Here is a 26,931-nt window from a genome sequence, read left to right as displayed (position 1 = left end):
GAACTTTCAAAAGATCCTTGGAAAATAAGAGTTTAGTAAACATGTTCATTCATGTATAGCCCTAAAACAGTTTATTCTTTTTTATTTCACTTTTGATATATTCATTTCTTTAATTTTTATTCCATAAACAAAATACACTGACATATGCTTGAAAATGTTTCTTAAAATCTCCTTTCCCATGTCGTCATGAGATTTGTAATGGCATTATAATTTGATCCATTATTTTATAGGTTCACTATTTATAAAGAAGTAAGTTCCAGACTTTTCAAGGGTGTTAAAGCAAATGTTTAATGTCAGAATATATATTTTAGTAAGTTAAATCAGATAAACTGATTTCTACTTTTTCTCTATATTATTTTTTAAAAATATTGATGGTATACTATTTGGTGCTGTTAAGTTGGTGTCAATCTCTTGTGATAATATGGAAACGACCAATACATTTCAATAAAACACGTACTGGAGGTGCCAGAAACTTGTAGAGACATGAGCCCCTCAGGGCCAGGAAGGTCGGGGAGTACACTCTGTCCTGGAGGGGGTCTTGCTCCCGGGCTTCACACCAGCCCATGTAGACAATCTGCAAGAAAATGGAATACAATCAACTGTCAAAACTTCTTATTTTAGATATCTTATATCTAAAAATATTTAGATGCAAATATTAAAAATATTTTAGGTATTTTTCATGTAGTATTAAAAACTCACATAAAATTATCAAATTGATTGATGCAAAAAAGTACATTAAACCAGATTTGGCTTCAGTAAATGAATGTAAACCTCTCATAAGAATTTCTTATACGTTTCTACCAGCATTTATCAAGTGTTTATGCCATCCAACCTGCCATGGATTATATTTCCCACTCTATCAATTCTTACAGAAAAAAATACTTATTTATAATAGAATTCATTGATGCATCGCACTTGTTTACCAATTACTGACATTTTATTAATTGGGAATGTGCTTTAATACAGAATGTTGAAGTGAGTAAAGAAAGCAAATCAGATAGACATCTTATGGCAATACCACTAGGGCGGCACACCACTTCTCCTCTGTGCCTGATAGGGGAGAATGATAAATGCCCTCCTTTTAATCATTGATCTTAGATGAATACAATTTATGCTAGTGTATTCATATATCAAATGGCATTGAAATCAACTCTTTAGCCTCTAGTGCTTAATAAAGGCAGATCGATTTCCAAACAAAGATTTTGTGAGATGAGCCACTCCTCTTTTTATGATCTGATTTTCTTGAGAGTCAAACATATACACAAACACTTAACAAATAAGTATGACATTTCTAACAACATATTCATGTGGCATTCAATTTCTTTCTCATCACAACTCTGTGCGGGAGGATATACCTCCCACTTCATATAATTTACGTTGGCTTTATGGTTGGCAGAGTTAAGTCCTCCTCCTAGATATTTTTTTCTTTTTTTGGCTCATGAGACCTTCTATCATCAATAGGATATTAATGAATGTGTCGCAAGTAGAGTTAGCTTAGTATCTTGTGCTTTTGCCATTATCATGAAAAACTCATACCCAGGATAGGAACACATGCCAGCAGACCAGAGCTCAGCTTAACACCTGGACCAAGCCCAGCTAGCTCCAAACTGGTGGCTAATGACAATCAGTTTACTTTCAGAAAGAAAGAAATACTTATTGTTGTATTCCAGCTAGTAAGGGGATGGTTTGTTTTGCAGCATTAATGTGGTGACAGTTGACTAATAACAATGCAAGAATTTGAAATGCAAGATTTGAAATATTACTGTCGTCTACTCATAGATCTCATCTTCTTTCCATTAATTATGTTTACTCTCTAAAATAATTGGATTATTCACCATCTCATTATCTCAGTTTGTCTTACAATAAGCCTATGAGCTATAAAGTCCCTGAATTAACAAATTAAGGGATTGTGATTTAAATAAATTAGCTTAACAAATGAATCAAACTTGATATAAGTTAGAATTGGAATTTGAACCAAGATGCCTTGCTCTTTTAATTATATAATGTATTCTGTAATCTTTTAGGTTACTAACATATGCATTACATAGAGACTTCACTGGTTAATAATAACATAATAAGAACCAGCTATAATAACTGATTATTTTGTATTGCTTATATGGCCAGGTATAGTTGATCAGATAACAACACAGTTTTGAAAAGGTAAATGAAGCTTAATAGATAACCATCCCATAAAGAAAACTATGACTTAGTTTAATATATATTTACTGTGTCAGAATAATTACAGGAGTTAAAATGAAAAGGATATTATAGCTTACACTTCCAGTAGTTGCATATTAGAGAATGTAGACAACCCACCATCTAATGTTACCTTAGGAAACTGGAAAAGAATATGCTTAAAGCACTAGATGTTTTACAAGCTATTAAAAGACAACCAGGAAAAATTTATAGGAATATGAAAATTGAGAGAGGTTAATCATTAATACAAATGCGGGTCAACTTTTGCCATAGGTGTGCTTTCTACACGGAAATGTCACATGAGAGAATCAGCTACATTGGCCAGTCTCACAGGTTTGGATCAAAATGTTAAAGTCCAGAATCTTCCACATGTGGAGGCCTTAGTAAACATGCTCTGCTTTTACTTAGGATCAGAAATGTCTGCATCCTAATTACAAAGTTAAGGCAGAAGTCATCAAGCCCTTGCCAGGACTGGAGCTCAGATTTAAGCCATTGAGATGATCCAGAAAATGCCAAGCTTTAAATGGTTTATGATGATCCTGGAATTCTGTCAGGCTCCTGACTAAAGAAAATGGAAATTCTTTCTGGATGACAATAACATTACTTATGTCAATATATTTTCATAAGACTTGTTTCTTGGAAGAGAATAAAAATAACCAAGAATATAAGGAAATAAAACTTCATGAAGTACATCAGGAGAATAACATGAAGAATAAAAACAATAGACAGCAGAACTGAATATTTAGGCATTTCAGATATTGGAATTTTCTAATACAGACATTAATTAAGTTTGCTATGTATATGAATATAAGATACAAAATTGAAACTTTCATCAGGGTATATCTGAGATAATAGATTATAAAATGTTCCATTTAGAAATTAGACAAATAAATATTTATGAAACGTAAAGTTGGGTTTAACAACACATTAAAAAGCAGCTAAAGAAAGAATTAGTGAATAGAAAGATGGCTCAGTAAAAAAGGTCTAGAATGATGATTGGAGAGACAAAAGTTTGGAAAAAACATATATGAGAATAAGAGAAAAAGGTGTTACACTGAGAAATACAAAACTTCAAACTTGAGTCCCAACCCAAGCACAGCTAAGAAAGGGAATGAACAGAAGATATATTGAAAGAGATGATGGCTAAGAATTTTCACAAATAGATAAAAAGAAGTCAATACACAGATTCAGAAGACAAACAAAACAAAAGCTAGATAAATATAAGCACACCAAGGCACTTTGGCATGTGTCTTCAGAGAACCAAAGACAGCAAAGAGCATAGTAAAACTGGCAAGAAGACAGGAAAAAAAAACGTGTACATTAATGATTGGTTTAATAGAAGGCAGACGATTTATAATATATGTTTCCACATTTACTCTCCTGTAATACCACACATCGTTTAGCTTCTGGAAAACTTTAACTTTATACCTATGAATGAATGAGAGTGAAAGAGGCAAATACCATCTACATTTTATTATGAAAATAGTTTTGACCTTCTAGATCCTTGAAAAGTATCCAAAGAACATTCAAGGGCGTACAAAATACTCTGGGCCACTGTTGTAAAGTAAAAACTTTAGCAAATGTCGTGATCTTTCAGGTAATCACTTATTAGAAGTATAAAAGAAAAGTAACTACGTTAGTGAAATGTATAAAACTTCAAAATAAACATATAGAAAAAAATAAACAGTTTGTTTCATAAACAATGCAAAAGCAAAGGAGATTAAAAAGAAACAAATGTGGCGGAAAAATGTAAGGCACAAGGTAAGGTGGTAGAATGTAATCAAAACAAGGTATTAGTTATATAGCAGGTAAATAGAATAAACGCAACCTTATAAAGTTTTTACTAATATATTTTTTTAGACAGTATCTCACTATCAACCAGGCTGAAGTGTGGGGGTCACAGTTCACTGCAGCTCTAACGTGACCTCCCCAGCTCAAGTGATCCTCTTGCCCCAGCCTCCTGATAAGACTACAGGCACACACACCACCACTTCTGGCTAATTTTTGTAGAGACGGAGTTTTGCTATGTTGCCCAGGCTGGTCTTGAACTCCTGGCCTCAAGCGAGCTGATCGTCTAGGACTTTTAAAGTGCTGGGATTGCAAGAATGACCCATCATGCCTCGCTTCTTATGAAGTTTTTTACACTACACTAAATAAATAAATAAATAAATAAAATAAAAACAAAAGCAAAAGAAAAACCCTATATTCTGTCTCTGTAAGGTTTATCTAAGACATAAAAGTACAGAAAATTTGTAAAGAAAAGAATAAAAAAATTATACCAAACAGAGACCAAAAATCAATTGATTTAGCAATACTGGTATTAGAAAACGTAGATCTAAGGCAAACATTATTTCTAGAAATAAAAAGGACTTTTAATAATGATAGTGTCAAACCTATCAAAAAGACATAATAATGTTTAGATTTTTTTATATCTGATAACATACCTTTTATTTATTTATTATTTATTTATTTATTTACTTATTATTGTTTTTGAGACAGTCACACTCTGTCATCCAGGCTGGAGTACAGTGGTGTGATCTCAGCTCACTGCAACCTCCACCTCCTGGGTTCAAGTGATTCTCCTGCCTCAGCCTCCCGAGTAACCGGGACTAAAGGTGCCCACCACCAACCCCGGCTAATTTTTATATTTTTACTAGAGGCGGGTTTTCACCATGTTGGCCAGGCTGGTCTGAAACGCCTGACCTCAAATGATCCATCCTCCTTTGCTTCCCAAAGTGGTAAGATTACAGGTTTGAGCCACTGCACCGGCCTGATAACATACCTTTACAATATATAAAATGAAAAACGGATGGAACTACAACAAAAGAAATGAACAAACTGATAATTGTAGAACAAGTTTAGCACAATTCATTGAATAACTATAAAATAAGAGTTAAAAATCCATCAAGCCATAGAGGTTTTGAACAATTCAATTAATACAATCTGCTTAATTTATTATGTTTAAGACACTTGACTCAACAAAAATTGAGTATAAATTATTTTCAAGTGCACTGGAAATGACAAGAAGTGATTACACCTTTATAATAATTATATCATTATATTTAGGTGATAAAGCACGTATTAAATGCGTTTTGCCATTCAAATGACATGTGGTGTCCTAAATAGAATGAAATGAGAGAGCAATATTCACAAAAAATTAGAATATCCCCCTCCAAAAGATTTGAAAATTAAGCAACATAGTTCACAGATCAAAGGAGAAATCAAAAATGAAGTTAAGGCCGGTTGTGGTGGCTCACGCCTGTAATCCCAGCACTTTGGGAGGCCAAGGTGGGAGGATCACCTGAGGTCGGGGGTTCGAGACCACCCTGACCAACATGGAGAAACCCCATCTCTACTAAAAATGCCTGTAATCCCAGCTACTCGGGAGGCCGAGACAGAGAATCACTTGAACCTGGGAGGTGGAGGTTGCAGTGAGCTGAGATCATGCCATTGCACTCCAGCCTGGGCAACAAGAGCGAAACTCTGTCTCAAAAAAATAAATAATTTAATGAAAATAAATAAATAAATAAGCCCAGGTGAGGTGGTTTATACCTGTAATCTCAGCACTTTGGGAGGCCGAGGTGGGTGGATCACCTGAGGTCAGGAGTTTGAGACTAGCCTGACCTACATGGAGAAATCCCGTCTCTACTAAAAATACAAAATTAGTTGGGCTTGGTGGTACATGCCTGTAATCCCAGCTACTCGGGAGGCTGAGGCAGGAGAATCGCTTGAACCTGGGCGGTGGAGGTTGCAGTGAGCCAAGATCATGCCATTGCACTCCAGTCTGGGCAACAAGAGCGAAAATCCATCCACCCCCCAAAAGAAAACAAAATGAAGTTAAAAAATAGTTTGAACTAAAATACAATGAAATATGAAATATCAAACTTGAGGGATTCAACAAAGGCTAACCTTGGGCTTTTATATCTTATATATATGCATTTTTTTAAGTCTCAACATCTGTAATCCAGGAATCTAGATCAAGAATTTAGAAAAAGTTTAGGAAGAAAGAGAGAAAGTATGAGAGATAAGGAGAGACCCAAAAGCCAAAATAAAACAAAAAAAAAGGAAGTATTGGATGCAGGCACTAATGAAATAGAAAAAAAATACAAATAGGTATTCAACAAAACAAAAAATAATTGTTAAGAGAGAATAATAATGTAAATACTCATGGCAAGCATCAGCATAAATTACTAATATCCATGATATCAGATCCTACAGATATTATAATTATGTTTAAAAATCTTATAAATGATATTTTGCAAGTTACTTTTAAAATTTAAATGAGAGGCCAGGCGCAGTGGCTCATGCCTGTAATCCCAGAACTTTGGAAAGCCAAGATGGGTAGATCACTTGAGGTCAAGAGTTCGAGACCAGCCTGGCCCACATGGTGAAACCCTGTGTCTTCTAAAAATACAAAAATTAACCAGGCATGGTGGCAGATGCTTGTAATCCCAGCTGCTCGGGAGACTGAGGCAGGAGAATCACTTGAACCCAGAAGGTGGAGGTTGCAGAGAGCTGAGATGGCACCACTGCAATCCAGCTGGGCAACAGAGTGAGACTCTGTCTCAAAAAATAAATAAATAAATAAATGAAATGAAATATATTAATTCTTAGACAAATGTCAGAATAGATGCAGAAAGAAATTTGTTTTAAATATAGAATCCTATAATTATTAAAGTAATGTAATCTGTAATTTAAAACATTCCAACAAAAAACTTGAGGAACTAGTGAATCTTTTTAATTTCTACTAATTGTTTTTTAAAAATGATCTAAATTCTTGTAAGGTCCTCCAGAGAATAGAATAAAAGGGTGATCAGTCCCAACTTAATTTATGGACCAGCCATAACTTTACATGAATGAGTGAACAATGTGAATGAATCTAAAGGAACAGCACCTGACAAGAATATTTATAAAAAGGGAAATTTACATTTAAATCATTCTTTATATGAGGTCTAAATTTATTAATTAAATAAATAACTTGAGATTTAAAAGCATCAATATAATTCACAATCTGAACCAAATGAAGGATTAAAATCACATACTCAAAAAACGAAGAAAAAATGATGAAATTCAACATGTATTCATGATAGAATCTTTAAATTATAAATAGAAATTGTCTTTAAAATAGAATTTTTTAAATTTATAATCCAAATATGGGTATTTGTATTTTTTAAAAATGTATTTAATGGTGAATTATTTAAATTATTCTTTGGAGATCAGTAACAATACAGGAATATACACTACCACCACTAACAATCAATGATTTTCTACTTTTACTCAATGTGCTGAGAAAAAAAAAAGAAATTAAATGTTAGGTTTAGAAGATAAACAAGTCCATGATTTTCATTGATAATATGAATTTATATATAGAAAACACAAAACTTTTAAATAAACAAAATTATTTTGTAAATTTCTCAATGTTGCCAAATATAAAATTTTATCCAAAATAAATTATATTACTGAGTAACCTAAATTAATAGTAAAAAATAGAAATTTAAAAATAAGATAATAATAGACTAAAACTAAAAAAGACGAGCCAGTAGAAAAGTGGGCAAGAGCATTAATGAGGCTTTCAGAAAAGAGATTTTGGCTTATTCAACTTAGAGAAAGTATTCAACCAAAGTGCTCATCAAAGAAATGCAATTTAAAACCACTGTTGTATATCCTGTGTTTATCTTCCAAAGAGGCTACAATTAAAAGGACAGAAAGAGATAAATTTTGGTGAGTAACTGTAGTAATGGAAAAGCTCCAACACAGCTGGTGAGACTGACTCCTCACTTCTTTTTTTGAGAAGGAGTCTCCCTCTGTCACCCAGGCTGGAGTCCAGTGGCACAATCTCAGCTCACTGCAACCTCCGGCTCCTGAGTTCAAGTGACTCTCCTGCTTCAGCCTCCCGAGTAGCTGGGATTACAGGCACGCACCATAACGTCCGGCTAATTTTTTGTATTTTTAGTAGAGAGGGGGTTTCACCATGTTGGCCAGGCTGGTCTTGCACTCCTGACCTCAAGTTATTCACCCACCTCGGACTCCTCACTTCTCATGTGAACTGAACATCAGTGCATGCAAGTGCACTAGAGAAGTATGTGTACCAGTGTTCACAGCAGCATTCTCTTTAGTAGTCCCAACTATGTGCCGATGTGGAAAATATCAATAAACTGTGCCACCAATATATTTTATGTAGATGAATACAGTAACATGCTGTGTTATAGTACGAGTATAGAGTAAGTACAATTATTAAATTATAGTTACATGGAACAACATGAATGAATCTCAAGGAACATCATGTTAACTGAAAGAAACCAATATAGAGTCATACATATATATGATTTGATTCAAATAAACTATAGTATTTGGAATGCATTCATGGTTGGAAAGAAAAAAGTAGTATAGCAAAGCAAGACCATTATTATCAAGCCTTTCAGGATAACAGTTAAGTGAGAGGAGAGAAAGTCAGTTGTGCACTAAGTAGGGAGCAGGCAGCACAATGGCTAACAATAGACTCTCTTTGACATGTAGCTTGTTTATGGAGGTTTGATTTTTTTTAAATAATTAAACTGTATGCCTAAGTTTTAGGAACTTTCTATATATACAATATATTTTATTAAATCCTGTTTTTAAAATGTCATACAATGTGTATTAATAACAGTTTTCTACCACTATCTTATTCAAATAATGTAGAGTTTTGTAAGTTGTATAGGAAAAAAGTATTCTAACAAATATTGTTAGATTGTCATTCTGGGGTCATTGTAATAAGATGAAATTTTAGTTATTGTAAATTATATCCCCATAAGCATTATTTCTCAATTAAGTCAGGGTTTCTAGTTTTAATTCAGTCTGATAAAACTTACAGTTTCTCTATTAATGACTCCTCTGTTTTGGCAAGAAAGAAAAAAAAGAATGCGGTGGTGTACATAATCACAAAAAAGAATATGTTCGAGACTCTTAAGACTATGACATTTGAGTTTGTTGTCTCTTCCAACCTCTATACTTTGCTGCAGGCTGAAATATTAAGGGTGGTGTACTATTATTCTTCCAGAAATATCATCACTGTATGCAGTTTTATGATTTTGAACTGAGTTTAGCTTTGGAAATGAGCTGAGAATATACCTAATAAAAATGGGATTATCAGATCTGTGAGGGATATATCTACATGTTTGCTCTCTCAGTCAAACATTCACCTTCCCGTTTACTATGCCAAACAGGAAAAGGGAGTTCTTTTCAATTGGTCTCAGATGCCAAAAAGTACCTTTCCTTTTCCATCATTGCCAGGACTTGGGTATAATAATTACGCAGTTGAAGAGACATAAAGCAGTTTCAGTACATTCTTCCTATGAGTATCACAGAAAATAATAATTCTAAAGAAACAGTGTATCTCTTAATTTCTAAAAAAAAAATGTAAAAATGGGAATTACAGGCATAATAGAAATAGGATGTTTTAGAAAAAAGTAGAATTAAAAGGAGAATTTCCCTAAATACATTAAATGACAAGAGGACTTCCAAACATCTATCATTTTAAGATAAATAATTTGGAAGCTTGTTCACTTTAAATTAAATGTATCATTATCACAAAACATGCCCCATATGTGAAGCTTGTATTACACAGCAATAATTTATTTGTTATTATTTTAAAATGTATTTTAGTTTGTTATTTTTTCTTCAATAGAATTTCTTTTTTAAAGTGGTTTTGGGTTCACAGCAAAACTGAGTAGAAAGCACAGAGCTCCCATCTACCTCTTGCCCTAACTTGCACAGCTGCCCCACTAGCAAAATACCCCAACAGAATGAAACTGATTTGCCATTTGTGTGTGTATGTGTGTGTGTGTATACATATATATGTATATATATATGTGTGTGTGTGTATTTTTTTCATGAGGTGCTTGTTCAGGTATTTTGCCTGTTTCTAATTGGATGTTTCCTTTCTAATTGTTGAGTTTTAAGAGTTCTCTGTGTAGTTCAGGGAACAGTTCCTCATCAGATGCCTTTTGCATATATTTTCTTCCAGTCTGTAGCCTGTATTCTCATGTTCATGACCCTATTATTCATAGAGCAGATGATTTTACCTTTAATGGGGTCCAATAAATTAATTATTTCTTTCATGGATTATGGTTTTTGTGTTGTATCTGAGAAGTCATCACCATACCCAAGGTCATCTACATTTTCTCCTATGTCATCCTCTAGGTGTTTTATTTGCCTTTCAAATTTAAGTCTATGATCCATTTTGAGTTAATGTTTGTAGAAGGTGTAAGGTTTGTGTCTAGATTATTATTTTTTTATTCCTCATGTGGATGTCCAGTTTTTCCAGTACCATCTGTGGAAAACATCACCTTTTTTGTTGTATTCTTTTTCCTTTTTTAAAGATTAACTATACTTGTTTGACTTTATTTCTTGGCTTTCCATTCTGTTTCATTGAGATATTGTCTGTCTTCTCACTGAATACAACACTACCTTGATTACTGTCACTTTATAGTAAGATTTGAGGTTGGATAATACGAGCCTCCTGACTTTGCTCTTCTACTTCAGTATGGTGTTGGTTTTTCTGGGTCTTTTGCTCCTCCATATAAACTTTAGAAAGAGTTTTTAATATATATCTACATCATAATAATTACATTTCTACATTTGTCCCTAGTTTTTGGAAGACAATAGGAAGGAGGGAGCATTTCAGGTGTTTTATAAGAAGGAATCAACATAACCTGCAACATGTTCATAATAAATAATAAAACTGAAAAAATGGCAAATTCTCACAGTCTAATTTTGATAGCACACTACTTCCTTTACTTTTATTAAAACAAACCCACAAATTTATCTGTAAATTTTTTCAGCTAAAGTGAAGAAGGACAGCATGCTAATCTAATATTACCATGGTTTCCAGTCCAGCAACATCAGCATCATTTGAGAACCTATTGGAAATGCAAATTCTCAGGTCTTAACCCAGACCTACTGAATTCAAAAGAAACTTTAGGGGTGGAACCTACCTCTCAATATTTTAATGAACCTTCCAAAGGACAGAGATGCTGCCTCAAGCTTAGTGGAGAAGGCCATCTAATTATGTTATAATTCCAACAGCCGGTAAGGCTGTGTATTAATGAGAACCGTGTTTATTACTTAAGACAGAGGAAACCATTAATGAAAATGTCCTAGCACTTGAAAGAGAAAAAGAAATGATGGGCTCTTGATAAACATGGTATTTCCAAATACGACATATTGGACCACTTTATTACAAATCAATTCTACTTCAGGGATGATGATTAAAACAGGAAATATTCTTTTTTTAACGAGTACAAAAACATTTTACAAAGTGCTGCAATGTTACCAAGGCAACACAGACTTGACCAGCCAAGCTGCCTGGGAAAAGAAAAGCTCAGAGATGTGCATCCCCTCCGAGACACTTTCCCCCTCAGCATTTCCTCATTGTAAAATCATTGCCGAGAGGCTAAAACAGAGAATCCCAGCAGTATCAAAGGACTAAGTACTATATATTTGATTTCTGAGCCCTCCTAGAGAAAAACATGAGGCAAAATATAACACAGGAGGAAAAATAAATGAGTAATAACCAACACCTCATAAAGGTTGCAGCCTAAGTGTTCCACGAGCCCTTCATAAGCACACAGTCCTTAGTCCTCTCATTACAGTGAGATAAATTGTACCTGTTATTTTATTTTGCCAGGAATAAAAGTAAATTCTCTCTGGAGGAAGATAATATCCCTATGAACCCCAAATTATGTCTATATATTTATATGCAATGTCTTTTCTTGAACCAAAATTTATAAGCCACACAAGGAGATAAGAATACAACTTAAAAAAACAGAGGATAAAATGGACAAGAGAAAAAAATCCACACACAAATAAGATATTTAAATTTTGGAGGGACCAGACAGACTTTAAAACTATCATGCTTAATATGTTCAAACATTAGGTGGCTAGTTAGGAAATTATATAAAAAAAATTACAAAATAATAAAATGGATACCTACAAATAAAAAATAGAAAAACTAAAACGATAAACCCAATATATGAGTTTACCAGAAGTTTATACACAATTGAAGAGAGGAGCAAAGAATTAAGTGAATTTAACTGTTAACATATATAAAATAAACATATTTTCTATATGTTTCAAGGTTCATTATAGAACCTTCTATAAAATAAACATGTTTCTATATTAAAAAGAACATTTTTCTGATCTTTGATGTGTGTGTGCTAGCAGAAGTTTAAATGTTACAACTGAAAGCAGCTGAGGGATGGCAGGGTGGCTCAGGCCTTTAATTATAGCACTGTGGGCGGCCAAGGTGGGCAGATCGCTTGAGCCTACGCGTTTAAGACCAGCCTCGGCAACATAGCGGACCTCATCTGTAGGAAAAAAAAAAAAAAAAAGCACCTGGGCATAGCAAGTGTTTCTTTAGGCCACAACAGTCCAAAATGCCTACAAAAGGCAAGAGAGTAATGTTAAAATTATTTGCCAAGGAGGCCTGGTTTGTTAGCACTGTCACCCCACAACACTCCTAACCCTGCAGAACTCAAGAATTAATGTCAAGTCTCTAAATCAAGGGAGGGTACATGTATCTCAGAAATTACAGTTGACCCTTCAACAACACAGGAGTTTGGGACAGAAATCCCCTACCACTACCACACCACAGTTAAAATTTAATGTATAACTTTTGACTCTCCCCCACATTTTACTATTAATAGCCTACTGTCGACTGGAAGCCTAACTGAAAATATAAGCAGGAGATTCACACACATTTTATTAGTTATATGTAATATATACTGTATTCTTACAATAAAGTAAGCTAGAGAAAATGTGATTAAGAAAATCATGAAGAGAAAATATATTTACTATTAATTAAGTCGGAGTGGATCATCATAAAGCTCTTCATCTTCATTGTCTTCATGTTGAGTAGGCTGGGAAGAAGGAGGAAGAGGAAGAGGAGGTATTTGTCTTGCTGTCTCAGGGGTGGCAGAGGTGGAAGAAAATCCACATTATCAGTGGACCCTCGATGTCCAAACCTGTGTTGTTCAAGTGTTCAAGGGTCAACTGTACAATCATTTTCATGTTTCACCTGGCCTCTTATTCTTCCAGACAGTGAGGTCCACAGCACCTAACAAATCCAGACATCTGCTTTTGATGTTTCCAGGAGATTTCTGACAAAAATGCACCCATAGTGATGACATTGCGTGGCCACTGCAACCACTGTTTACTCCACTGCTATCTTCCCTCGGCATCCAGGGCACCTGTCTCACAGTTGGATTCCCTCTGTGGAGCCCTGCAGTTGAGCTGTGATGGACTCATTTACTTTCAAAGATGGAGGCATCCTTTACTCTCCTTCCATGGTTCCCCATTCAGGAGCACCATTCCTAGTGCTTAAAGCCATTCAAATAACAAGTCAGACCAGGTCTCATCAAAGCTATTGATACTCTGCGACACCCATGTTCACCCTCTCGGAAACCAGGGCTCAGCCTCCTCTTGGCTCTCCAGGGCAGCAAGCAAACCCTCCCTCCATCCCTTCCAGGAAATGCTCCCCTCCCCAGCCCTGCTGTTACTGTGAGTCACTCACTGATATACATTTTATCAGATAATTTTATTTTTGTCCGGTTTCTGCAAGCCTTTTCCTGTGTTAATATTTCTGTAAGAGGAATCTTAATCAAATAAATTTCAAAAAGTGCTTCAAGTGGAAAAGAAGTTATAAAATGAACTAAACATACCACGAGTTCTCTGTTACACTCAGAAAGAAGTAATCTTCACTTTCGGGAAGGGCACATAGTTGGTTGCGAGTTTACAAATGAGCCTATTGTCATTTTATATCAGCTGTAGAAACCATCTCCTTCCCCTCTTGCCAGCTGCTTCCCTGAAAACCACTGCTGAGCCAGCAATTACTGCAGCAGCACAAAGCCCCTCAAATGGGGAGACCACGGCAATTACCCTGATTTGTCACCACAGAGGGCTGGCTATAAAAGCTTCTTTCAAGACATTGAAATTAAGCAGTTTGGGACTATGCCAGGGCCTTTTGGAGAGTGGCAATCAGGAAAGAAAAAAGAGACACCAGTGTCAGCATAAGAAAGCAGGTAGACTTGGAGCAGTGTGCTAAAAGGAAATACGATGGCTATTTTCTGTCGACATGTTTCAGTGTTATCTAAAATGCATTCTTTATCTGAGTTTGACTTTTCCCTGACAATTCAAATAATTCCAGGCCATCTTGATTCATGAGAAGGAGTAAAACCCAAGGTTGTTTGTTTTTTTGCCAAGAGGAATATCAAATATAATGGCATCTACAGTGTCCACATATAAGGGTGACATTTTCAGATGATTGGTAACCTGAACATTTTTTCTTCTCCATCTCCCATTCTCTCCAAAATACAGTAATTCATTCAAGCCTCTGTCATAAACACTGGACACAGCAGGAAACCAAATAGATGGAAATACCTGTGAAAATGTAACTTAGATTCTACTTTGGAAGCATGAGAATATAAAAATAAAAGTAAAATACATGTTATGTTAAATAGTAAGAATCCTAAGGGGGAACCATAAATAAATAAATAAATCAAGGAAAAGAAGACAGAAAATACTGGGAAGGGCTGAAATTGTAGCTGCGATTGCCCTAACATCACACCAATGGGACATTTGAGTATAGGCTTAAAGGAAGTGAGTTACCTGTATGGATATCTGAAGGAAAAGCATCAAGGCTGAGGGGACAGCAAGGATAGGGCTGAAATACAAGGGCTTGCCAGGACGATCTTGGGGATGATGAGTCCATTATGGTTATGGTTACTGAAAAATTGTTTGAAGAGAGTAGTTGATAATGAGATAAAATGGAATGTGCCTTCAGTTGCACACATCCTTGTAGGTCCCTGACAGATCTTTGGCTTTAGTCTGAGTCACCCTGCAAGCCATTGGAGGGTTTGAACAGAGGAGAGACAGAATTTAATGTGCGTTTTGACTGGATTGCTTGCCTGAAGAGAAAGAAAGAAAAGAAGCAAGAAGGCCTGTTTAGAATGCTGTTGTAGCAAAGCAGGTGAGAGATGATAGAGACTTGAAACATTGGCAGCAGGGAAGGCTTTAGAGAGTAGTTTAACTCGATCTATTTTGAAAGTAGAATTTTACTTCTGGTGTGAAATAAAAATGGAAGTTAAGAGTGATAGAAAGTTTTCGATCTTTGCAATCAGAAGAATGGAGGAGGCCATTAAAAGATAGGATTTTGAGAAAATCTGCTTTGGAGATAAAACCAGGAGCTCAGTTTTAGACATTTCAAGACTGTGGTTATTTTAGAAAGAAATAGAAAATACGAAGAAATAAATTTGATAAACCATTCTGGAGTTCTAAGGCATGGTCTAGTCTTGTCAGATAGACTATTCAGTTTAAGACTGTCTCATCAGTTTAAGACTGATATTTAAAGTCTTGAAACTGTGAATGTGTACAAAGATAGGAGACTCAGTGAATGGCAAGGTCCTGGGACAGCAGACATTGTGTGGTAATAGAGAAGAGGAGAGAACCACAAAGGTGTAAGAAAAAACTCAAGCAATTTTTACGTCATGAAAGACAAATGAAAAGAAAGCGACTAGCTGTGTCAAATGCATGGATGACTCAATTATCACGAGGACCGATAATTGACTATTTGATTTAGTGAAACAGTGTTCATTTGTGGGGTTGATAAAAGAAGTTTGCCCAGGAGTAGTGGGGGCAAATCGTTATTGGATTTGATTCAAGAGAGAAGGGAAGGAGGCTAATTGGAGACAGTAGATATAGCCTGTCTTTTAAATAGGCTCTCTCTAAATGAAAGCACAGAAAGTGTTGGTCATTAAAAGGATTAGGGAGAGAAATGCAAGGACAGAGGAGAGACCTGCTGAGCAATGTGCTTGAGTGAGCAACAGCAACAGCTGGGAGCACGTGCAGGTCCTTTCCAGCCACAGCAGAACACAGATGCAGGGAAGTGGGCAGATGTGTTCAGTTCTCCTCCGATTGCTTCAATTTTCTCAATGAAGCAGGAAGCAGAATTATCTTTTGAGAATGGGGATGAGGACAGTGGTATTGGAGGCTTAAGGTGACAGCAGAAATGTATTTAAAAGAAATGGAGAGAATAGACTGGGGGAAGAAAGAATAATTGCAGGTTGCTTTAGGCGTGTACTTCAGGTCAGTGATCATGAATTTAATGTGGGATGAGTCACTATGGCTATTTGTTTTTCTTCAGCCATGTTTAGTTAAATGAGTTCAGGCATATAGCAGAAGGAAAGTTGGAGTTAGTCTGAATTCAGGGAGAATAAGGAAGAGTAAAGAAGCAATTGAACTGAGCATGTATGCTGGGGAATGATAATACTTGATTATGGAATTTAAGCTGGATAAGTGACATAAGATGAATGCGCTAAAATGAAAGATGATGGATTAGGAAATTGAAGTTGGGATATTATGAGCTTGGGGCACAAGAGGGGCTACAGTGGAAGGTTTGAAGGTATCACTCTAGGGAAGATTGTTTGAAATTTAAATTATGTTCACATTGTAATTACTGGTAATGACAAGGTGTGGGGTTTGAACATGAGAATGTGTTAAGGAGACATGAAGACTAAGGTCATCAAAGAAGAGCAGATCAAGAGCAGAAAGGCCAGGAAACATTCATGTACAGTTTTGTCATATGGAAAGTACTGAAAGAAAAACGTTAGAGATTTGATAATGATCCAGAGATTAGAATCATTACCAGGATGGGTAGATAGGTGTCCATGTCTGAGATCGTGGATGGTGGAATTGGATTGAATGTGTACATATGTGTGTGATGAAGGCATGAAGAAAAGACTGAGGAGCAAGAAGAATACCTATCCATCTCCAAGTTTAGTAAGATTATAAACAGGAAATGAAATCAGATACCACTTGAGAGAACTGCAGGATCAAACAATTCTCCGCAGGAAAGCCAGCTTTCAATTAGCAGAGTAAGGTGAAAAGAATGTAGATTAACAAGCTAGAGGAAAGAGAGGCTTTGTAGATGACTGACCTTGTTATTATAAGTCTTTCAACCTGTACTATGTTCAGAATAGGACAGTGGGGAGGGAAGAAAACAGCCTGGGGTATAAATAGAGGAAATCAAGAAAAGCCATTTCTTTTCATAGGCAGATGCACCATACACAATAAAGGAAGTCATACTTCCGTCTTTCTGTGTAACCATATTCCTCAGACAGCTAAAGTTTTCATTAAGCAAATTAATTGATCCATAGTATCTAATTAAGTTTTCTTTTGCAATGCTAAATCAACTTCTCAAGCAATTTGTCAAATTCTTTTTTGGTGGTAAAATTAGAATGTGTTTAAATCCACAATGATAGTACTTAAGAAATTTTATGACCAAATAAGAACTAGAAGTGGCTGAAGGATGAGGATATATATGATAACTGGTCCTGAAAAAAGTAAAACCTATCATGTCACCTATTTTAATAAATACTGATTACAGATGGGGACATTTTTGTTGATAATTACTTATGGAGAAAATAAACCCATTAGAATAATTTGTTGAAAATACCAAGAACATTACAAAATCATAATATACTAAAAGGTAAGGCTTGTTAATTGTTACACATTTCAGTTTATAATACTGAGGCTGAGAGTTTACTTGATATATTATTTAAATATAAGTATTTTTAAAATGTACATTATTGTAGCAGAGGTGTAATTTAATATTTTTTTCTGTCAGTAATCTGTATTAATCTGCAGGTAGGACATTATAAGCATGATTGCACACAATTCTGTTGATATCAATAACATATGTGTTAGTACTTTAGGCAAATATATATTTGAAAATAATATGGAAGCAATAAAGTCAAATAATATTTCTTATAGTTCTTTTTAATTTATACTGCTAAAATGGCATTACATTTTTTCTCCTAAACAAGTTCATAGAAAAACAAAAAGGCAATAATTTACACCCATAAATATTTCAGAAATGTGTATTAAAGAATAAGAAGCATATGAAGGGATGCAAATTATTAAAAACATAGTGAGGCATTAGTCACAATTTCCTATTCTGGTAAAAGCCAATGAGTAAAGAACCACTGTAAAAATAAAGAAGCCACTGAAATACAGAAATAGCTTTTTTTTTTTTAACTGAAAAGCATTTCTGTCACTATCATTATTTTATAACACAATAATGAACTGCTCTTACAGAACTTTAAACTTGTATTTCCATTTTATTCTTAGTTTTTACTTTTGTGTAAATAATGTCTCCTTCTTAATATCAGGTTGTAGTTAGAACAAGTTATTATACAATTAAAATGATATTATATAAACCTCAATAATTGAATAATTTGAAAGTTTAAAAAACAATAGCAACAAGCATTTTTCAGCTTTTAGCATAAAATGATCTTATTTGCTAACCATTGTAAAGTAAAACAGTGATAGCTTTGGGTCTAGTTGGATGTAATCTGCTCATATAGTGATATTTAAGTCTTTATAGACATCTGATATTTTGTTGGTGCAGAAAAACTGCTACTGTTATACTCTATGCTAAACTCCATGATTTGATTTTTGGAGAAATCCTCAGTGAGGTAAAATAGTGACTTATGGGGCAAACTTGAGAGGGTTTTCTTCTGTTGGAAAGAATGTCTACTGAGACACACCGCCTCCTCTAGGGTGGAGGGATGTATTCACAGAATCTCAAGAAGACTCTCAAGAATACCTTAAAACCTCAAAAGTAACTGCTTTGATTCTTCATCGGAATATATCACTATTTTGTAAGGTATTTTCTGTTAAGACATAGAGGCACAATTTTCTCCTGCTCAGCCTTCTTCACTGGAGCACCCAGTGCTATAGAAAAAATTTTTGTAACTCTACTTCTTGATTTTTCACTCAACCATAGCAGAAAGCAATCCAGGAAAATCAATTTTATTATATGATAGCTTTGAATATATAATTTATAAATAATTACAGGCTTAGTACATTATAGTGGCACCTCACTTTCAGACACTTAAGTCTGAATTCATTTCCTATTGTGGTTGTAAAAATTGCCACAAAACCTTGGTGGTTTATAACAGCACAAATGTATTATCTTACAGTTCTACATGAAATATGAAACAGGTCCTACTGAGCTAAAGTCAAGATATCAGTAGGCTTCATTCCATTCAAGAAGCTCTAGAGATGAGTCCATCTCTTTTTGTTTTCTAGTTTCTAGAGACTGCATGCACTCCTTATAGCATGGTCTCTTCTTCTTCCATCTGGAAAGCCACCAGTGTAACATCTCTACCCAACTTCCTTTTTCCACATAAGGTAACATATTCAGAAGTACCTGGGGTATGGACGTGGATACATCTTTGGGGGTAATTCTTCTACCTATCACATAGATAAGTCATGTTTTGAAAGCAAAGTTATAAGAATAAGTATGTTGAGGAAATGTTCTTGCAAAACTTAACCTTAATATTTGGTGTGGTTTAAGATACTTATCTCACAGAGAATTACACTATTTGATGTTTAATTAACTCTTGTACCTTACAGTAATTTAATTGAACAATAAAATAATATTTATACAGATAAAGATATGTATTTTAGATACATTATTTTAAAAATAAATAAAATATTGATATGACTAATTTAAATATATTCGTAAACAATTCAAATTATTTCTGGGATTTTATGTAACCTATCTTTCCTTCATCAATAAGATAATGCATCCAATCCTGCGCATTGCTTGGATCAAAGGTAAAATAGGAGTGAGTGATCTACTAGAGTACTATACTAAAAATTGTACTAAATACTGTAGTGGAAGAAGATTTAGGATACCTGAAACCTAAGCCTGTTTCCAAAATTCATGTGCCTTATGACCTTGGGTAAGCCATTTAACCAAGACTATATTTTAAGCTCCTTAAAAGTAATAATGATTTATTCACTTTGGGCATACTAGAACCTTCAAATTTTATCATACAGAAATAATAGCAAGAAAGGTTACCTAATTGAATTAACTTCGTGGGACATTTTTTCTGCAAATAAGAAAAGTAAACTCATGAATTGAGAGAGCCTACTCTATATAAAGAGTTCATGAGTTTAAAGGACATGATTGTATAACAAGAAAATTTTAATCATCGTAAAACACCTGAGCCCCAAGCAAGCAAGGACAAAATACTAAGATTTAGAGATAATTTTAGTAAATTAAAATGACAAATACAGTTAGGTAAACAAAGGTACTACATGTCTCATGCTTCTTTGCAGGTAGATATGACCATGTGATTAGATTTCACCAATGGGATGTGAGCTGAAATGATGCATGCACTTTCAGGCAAGGCTTCCCTATTTTATTCTTTTAATTTATTGTCTTTTGACAAAAAGACCCTGGAAGATGGTAAAGCTACAAGACAAATTTCTGAATTATGCTATGGAGGGAAGTTGACTGCCAATCAAGAACACCTGTTTTAGTCTGTTTGGTGAGAAAAAGTTATAAACACTTACATAGTGTTTAAGACATTATACATTTGGGGACTTGGAATGGAGCAAGATGGCTGAATAGCAGCTTCCATTGATTGCCCTCCCACAGGAACACCAAATTTAATAACTACATTAAAAAAGGACCTTCATAAGAACCAAAAATCAGGTGAGCAAACACAGTACCTGATTTTAACATCACGCTGCTGAAAGAGGCACTAAAGAGGGTAGAAAGAAAATCTTGAATTGTTTCACTAAGTGCCACCTCTCCTCCATACTCTGTCAGTGACAGCTTGGCAAGAGGAGAGAATCTGTGCTCTTTGGGGAAGGAGAGCATAGTGACTTTGGGAATTTTCATTGGAAGTCAGTCCTGCCAACATTAGTAGAACTCAGCTGATGCCCACGGAGGAAGCATTTAGATAAGCCATAGCCACAGGGGAATTGCACATCCCAGCAGACAAAATTGAGTTTTGGCAAGCTTTACTACCGTGTGCCAAAGTGCTCTGGGGTCTTAAATAAAGTTGAAAGGTGGTCTAGACCACAAGAGCTGTAACTCTAGGCAAGTCCTGGTGCTCTGCTGGGCTCAAAGCCAGTGGATTTGAGGGCATATGACCTAGTGAGTCACCAGCCAGGGTGGCTAAGGAAGTGCCTGCACCATCTGTCCTCGAACCCCAGGCAGCACAGCTCACAGCTCTGAAAAAGAGTCCTTTCTTCTGCTTGAGGAGAGGAGAGGGGAGAGTAAAGAGGACTTTGTCTTGCAACTTGGATACCAGCTCAGTCATAGTAGTCACCTCAGGCAGAGTCATGAGGAACCCATTCTAGGCCCTAGCTCCAGGACATTTCTAGACACACTCTGGGCCAAAAGAGAACCTGCTGCATTAAAGAGAAATAGCAAATTCTGGCAGGATTCATCACCTGCTCATTAAAGAGCCCTTGGACCCTAAACAATCAGCAGCAATACCCAGGCAGAGCTCACTGTGGGCCTTGGCTAAGACTCAGAGCCTTGCTGGCTTCAGGTGATACCAAGCACATTCCTAGCTGTGGTAGTTTTGATGCTTTTTGCTTTAGAAGAGCAGAGATAAAAGTAAAGGGGACTTTGTCTTACAGCTTTTGTACCAGCTCAACCACAGGGGTTAGAGCATCAAGTGGGCTCATGGGATCTCTGATTATAGGCCTTGGCCCTTGGATGGCATTTCTGACCCCAGGCCAGAGGGGAGCCCACTTCCCTGAAGGGTGAGTCCCAGGCCTGGCAGCATTCTCAACAAGCTGAGTGGACTCGTCAGTGGCCTGGCCTTAAGTGAACATCGGCAATTGCCTGGAAGCACTCCCTGTGGGCCTCTGGTGATGGTGACCATGGGGAGAGACTCTTCTGCCTGTGTAAAAGGGAAGGAAGAGTGAAAGGACTTTGTCTTGCATTTTGGCTGCTGGCTCAGCTGCCGTAGAGTAGAGCACCAGGTAAATTTCTAAGGTTTCTGACTCCAGGCCCTGGCTCCTGGAAATCATCTCTAAACCAGCCTAGGGCCTGAAAAAACTCACTGCCCCTAAGGGAAAGACACAAGGCTGGCTGACCTCACCACCTACTGATTGTAGAGTGCTAGGGCCTTGAGCGAATGTAGGAAGTAGCGAGAAAGTGGCTTTTGTTGGCCAAACTAAAGTTGTCACTTTAGTTTTACAGATCCATAGAGGGACAGGTATTGAGTCCCAGGGGCAGTGCTTAGTGTATTATGCCAAGAAATCTCATCTGCACATGATTTATATGCTTTTGATGATGACATTTTGGACTTTGAGATGATAAGATTTAGATTAAACTTGGGAGTTTGAGCTGACGTTAAAATGGGGTGAGACTCTTGGAAAGCTTTGAAAGGTTGAATGTATTTTACATTTGGGAGGAGCATGAACCACTAGGGCCCAGGATACCACAGGTCTACTGTGGTAGACCAATCCCAAAGGTACAGACTGCGGCTGTCAATACCAAAAAGTTACATAATATGTAATTGTGTTTATATAACATTTTTGAAATGACCAAATTGTAGAAATGGAAAACATATTTTTGGTTACAAAAGAGTGTGGGGACAGAGATGAGGATGTTTATACAAGGCAACAGAAGGTATTAGGGTGGGGCTGCAAATGTTCACTACTTTGACTTGTGGTGGATATATGAGCCTAAACATGTTCTATAATTGTACAAAACTAATTACACATACTCATACCACCAATGTGCACAAGCAAAAATTAAAATAGACAAAAAAGCTAAACAATATGAAGAGGTTTTTATCAATTTCAATATCTTTGTTGTGATATTGTATCATATTATACTATAGTTTTGAAAAATGATGCCACTGGGAGAAACTAGGTAAAGGGTACACAGGTTTTCTCTTCATTATTTCTTAGAACTGCATGTAAATGTACAATTATTTCAATAAAATTTCAGTTAAAAAACTGACTTAATAAGATAAAGCAAGGTGGTTGAAAAATCACGTTTGAAAAGCTCAAAGATGAAATGAGTTCAAAGATTTAACTGCACAAGACAGGACCCAAGTCTCAGCAGAGGGCATCCGGATGCATGACCCAGACAATTTGACCAGCAAAGGTGATTTGTGCCACAGTTAGCCGCCCCACAGAAAAGGAGGCTTTAATCTGCCAGTTGTAGCTTTCCAAGTGGCAGACCAAACAGCTAAGCTATTGGCAACAGATTAAATGTCAGTAAAAATATAATGAGGTTTATTTAGGGGTATATTGACAACATCCATGAGAACAGCCTTGTGTTTGTCCACTGTGGAGACTACCATGTCAGTGTTTGACTCCGCATGGTGGGTGCTGAGGCTGGACAGCTGCGGCAGCCCAGTGGACACTGCTAGGCTTCAGCTTAGCTGAACCACTGGTAGCCCAAGCCCAGCATATGGGGAACTTTGTGAATATATGCAGCTATTCTCAATTAAGAGACTCCCCTTTGGCACTTATGGAAGAGAGAATCATAGGCATATAATGCAACAATTTCTACTGCATACACAGATATAGGAATAAAAAACAACCTTCCATGGAATCCCAATAGGCCTAAACAGCAATGTCCCATTAGCCTCTCCTACACTGTGAACACTTCCCAAATCCCATTGATTAAATACTGGCACTCCTCACCCCATAGGAATAGGAAGATGATAACATGGGTACCTGTTTCAGCGCCATAGAATTTGGGGTTCATTTCCTACACAAAGTTCCCCAGCTCGTTTGGATGGTTATGTATCAGTTCCTCTTAAAGACAGAGACTTTAGTGCACAGCCCACCTCAACATTCATATTCCTCCTTAAGGAAGCTGGGGTCAAGGTAGTAAGGCAGGGAGGGATGAGGGCCCAGAAGTTGAAAGACACTTCATGCTAGTAAGCAGAGCATATTTCTTTTCCTTTCTGAGCACAGCCCTTGTTATCCATCTTTAGGAAGCTTTATGCACCTGTTCTCTCATCTCTCTGGTGAGCCAGGTAAAGTTCTAACTATTCCACTGGTTTTTACCCAGAGTGGCTATGAATTTTCCTGCTTTAATGCCCAGGGCAGAAACATAAATGTACCTGTTGTCTGAAAAGAGATAAATCTCTTAATAGCAATTTCAGAGTACCAGGCCTGAGACTGACTGCAAGACTGGGGAGCAAGATGGCCCCACGTGAAGAACCATTAGAAACACAGAAGACATTGTTCAGAAAGCTGTTTTTGAACTTACTTTTCAATTCTCTTCCTATACCCTTTTCTCAAATTACTCCACATTAATAGGCAATGAAATGGAAGACAGCTTTATAGCCTGGTTGAAGGAACAATTTGATCAATATATTTATTACTAATGCCCATGAATGCTCTCAAATCCAATTAATGATTAATGAGGCCCTCATCTTTATTTCTACTGCAAAGCTATGTCTCCATCAGCATTTCAGCCGCACTGACAAATTGTTATAGGCCATGAAAGGTCTGAGGTTTTGCAAGTGAATATGTTAGCTTAACACAGGTTTATAGGTACTGGTAGAAGACACGGTATTCTTGAATCAGAGACAAAGGACCTTTATTAATTATGGCACAGCTGACATCTTGGGCCTGCAAATAGACACTGATAGCCTAAACCTTCCCCTGCCACATAATCACATTTTCTTTTTGAATATAACAGTCTTCAGAATTTTGGTTTGGGAAAGGCATGCATCTTACTAGTTTTAAAATATTTGATTTACAGCTATACATGATTTACTTGTTTTACTTATTTATTATTTCATAATAGTAATAGCATATAAAATATATTTTTCTTAACCTAATAAGAGATTATAAAAATAGGGCTGGGTGTGGTGGCTCATGCCTGTAATCTCAGCACTTTGGGAGGCCAAGGTGGGTGGATCACTTGAGGCCAGGAGTTCCAGGCCAGCCTGGCCAACATGGCAAAACCCTGTCTCCACTAAAATACAAAAATTAGCTGGGTGTGGTGGTGCATGCCTGTGGTCCCAACTACTCAGGATTCTGAGACATACGGTTCATTTAAACCCAGGAGGCAGAGGTTGCAGTGAGCCGAGATTGCAACACTGCACTCCAACCTGGACAACAGAGTGAGACCCTCTCTCAAATAAATAAATAAATAAATAAATAAATAAATAAATAAATAAAATTAAAAAGACTATTAAAATAAAATACATGCCATGATATTTATCATTTTATCATATATTACCCCAATTCCTAAGCTTTTACCCATCCTTTAAGGCTAGAATGTAACTATAAATATAAATATAATGTACTTGACACTTCTGTATTTTGACCTGTTTTGCCCTTTAGTGACTGCCATATCCTATGTTTGTGAAAGTTAACTAGTGCTTAAAAATGTGTTTCCTAAACAGCACAGTAGTTATTTCAAGTGACCTCATTTTGAAGTATTTCCTAATGACAAATCGCTTAACATAGTCATATACTCTGAGTTACTTTAATGCTTCAAATAACTCTAAAAACTAGACTAGTAAAATATAGCAGACGTGAGCATTGATTTAGTGTCTAATCATCAAAAATGGGTAAGAAGGGTATTCCAGCAGTATAGAAAGTTTCTGCAGTGTCTGCACTACAGAGCGTAGAGTCAGTCCATTAAACTGCAAATGGGATGAATAGGTCTCTTAAACCATAGATTCACACTGTGCTTTTCTGTAGAACAAATCACATTTCTCTTTATGTATCAAGGAGGATGAATTACACAATATGGTCAATTAAATCACACTTAAAGAAGTAATAAAGGAAGCAGAATACAACAGTTGTCCTATCAATGGATTATTTAAAAATATAAAAGTTCTCACCCATGGGGCTTCTCTTTACTTATCCTTCTCGAATTTGCCTATATAACATGTGATCACCCCCTTGAATAAGTCCTTTGGTTTTGCGATTCAGAGTCATTCACTGTTAATTTGATGAGGTCAATCAAGTGTTAAAAACTATTCCAAAAAAATAAAAAGAATGTTGCTCAGGCAAGCACACAAAATGGGTTCTGGTTAAACTAGATTCATGTCTCTATAATATAATGTAATATAATCAGGATAACAATTGGTGCCTATGAAGAAATGGTGTTCCAAAAATTGTTGCATTTACATTATAAATATTTGTTCCCATTTATGGTGCTGTGAGGAAATGAAACTTCTCTAGATTTCTGTGTGTGCTTATACAAAGCCCCAGCTTCCTGAGACAGGAAATGTATACAGAAAAAGACAAGAATATTTGCCTTCACTTCTACTGGAAACATTGCTTTTTCTTTTTACATACCATAAGAATTACATCTGGAGATATTTTTCTAGTGAATTGCTCTCATCTGAGCAGAAAAGATAACAACACTTCTCCTATCCCCGTAAGAGGGCCAAGAGGTTACAGCCCAGACTAAATTCCTAGGTTTATCCCTGAGGTCTCCTGGAAAACTAGGAAGCTTTCTCCCTGGATATGTACATCTCACAAAGGAGAAATCTTGGAGGTATCTCTAGTTCATAAAACCCAGAGACGTTTCGGATGTATCTGACTTTTGGAGAGTCTTTGGCATTCCAAAAGGTTAGGCAGAGAGCCTAGGATCCTTTCCATCCAGTCTCCAAAGGACAAGTTATCTCTCTCCTTTCAGGAGTAGAGTGCTGTTTGACAGTTGTCCTTCACTTGCACATAAATAAAGAAAATTCACTGTTCTTCATCTGTCTTCTTGGGGTATAACTCTCAAGTAAAAAAATTCCATCAGTTCTCATCACATTACCTGCAGGTCTAGGTGCAGGTGACTGACATTGAGATTACTTTGGCTGTAGATATGGTTGTATAAATAAAGAGGAGGTGCTTTGTGTTTCTGTAGTATTTATATATAAAATAAATTCTGTGCTATTCACACCTGTT

The 26,931-nt window shown here is 36.1% G+C and overlaps 1 protein-coding gene across 18 annotated transcripts in view; it reads right to left on the bottom strand.

Annotated features, from left to right (window-relative positions):
* The window catches only part of SNTG1 (syntrophin gamma 1), an 886,897-nt gene that overhangs the window by 139,210 nt on the left and 720,756 nt on the right, over nucleotides 1-26,931 (bottom strand). For all 18 annotated transcript variants that reach the window (NR_135796.2, NR_135795.2, NR_135797.2 and 15 more), the window contains one exon: nucleotides 458-574. Coding sequence is in view for 13 of the 18 variants with exons in the window: in NM_001287813.3 (NP_001274742.1) it covers nucleotides 458-574 (117 nt within the window). In the remaining 5 variants the exon portion in view is untranslated. The remainder of the gene's footprint in view (nucleotides 1-457; nucleotides 575-26,931) is intronic.

The sequence above is a fragment of the Homo sapiens genome, chromosome 8 (genome assembly GCF_000001405.40).
Source record: "Homo sapiens chromosome 8, GRCh38.p14 Primary Assembly".
Classification (NCBI taxonomy): domain Eukaryota; kingdom Metazoa; phylum Chordata; class Mammalia; order Primates; family Hominidae; genus Homo; species Homo sapiens.
The sequence above is the reverse complement of the archived record's forward strand: the minus strand, read 5'-3'. Positions and strand labels throughout refer to the sequence as shown.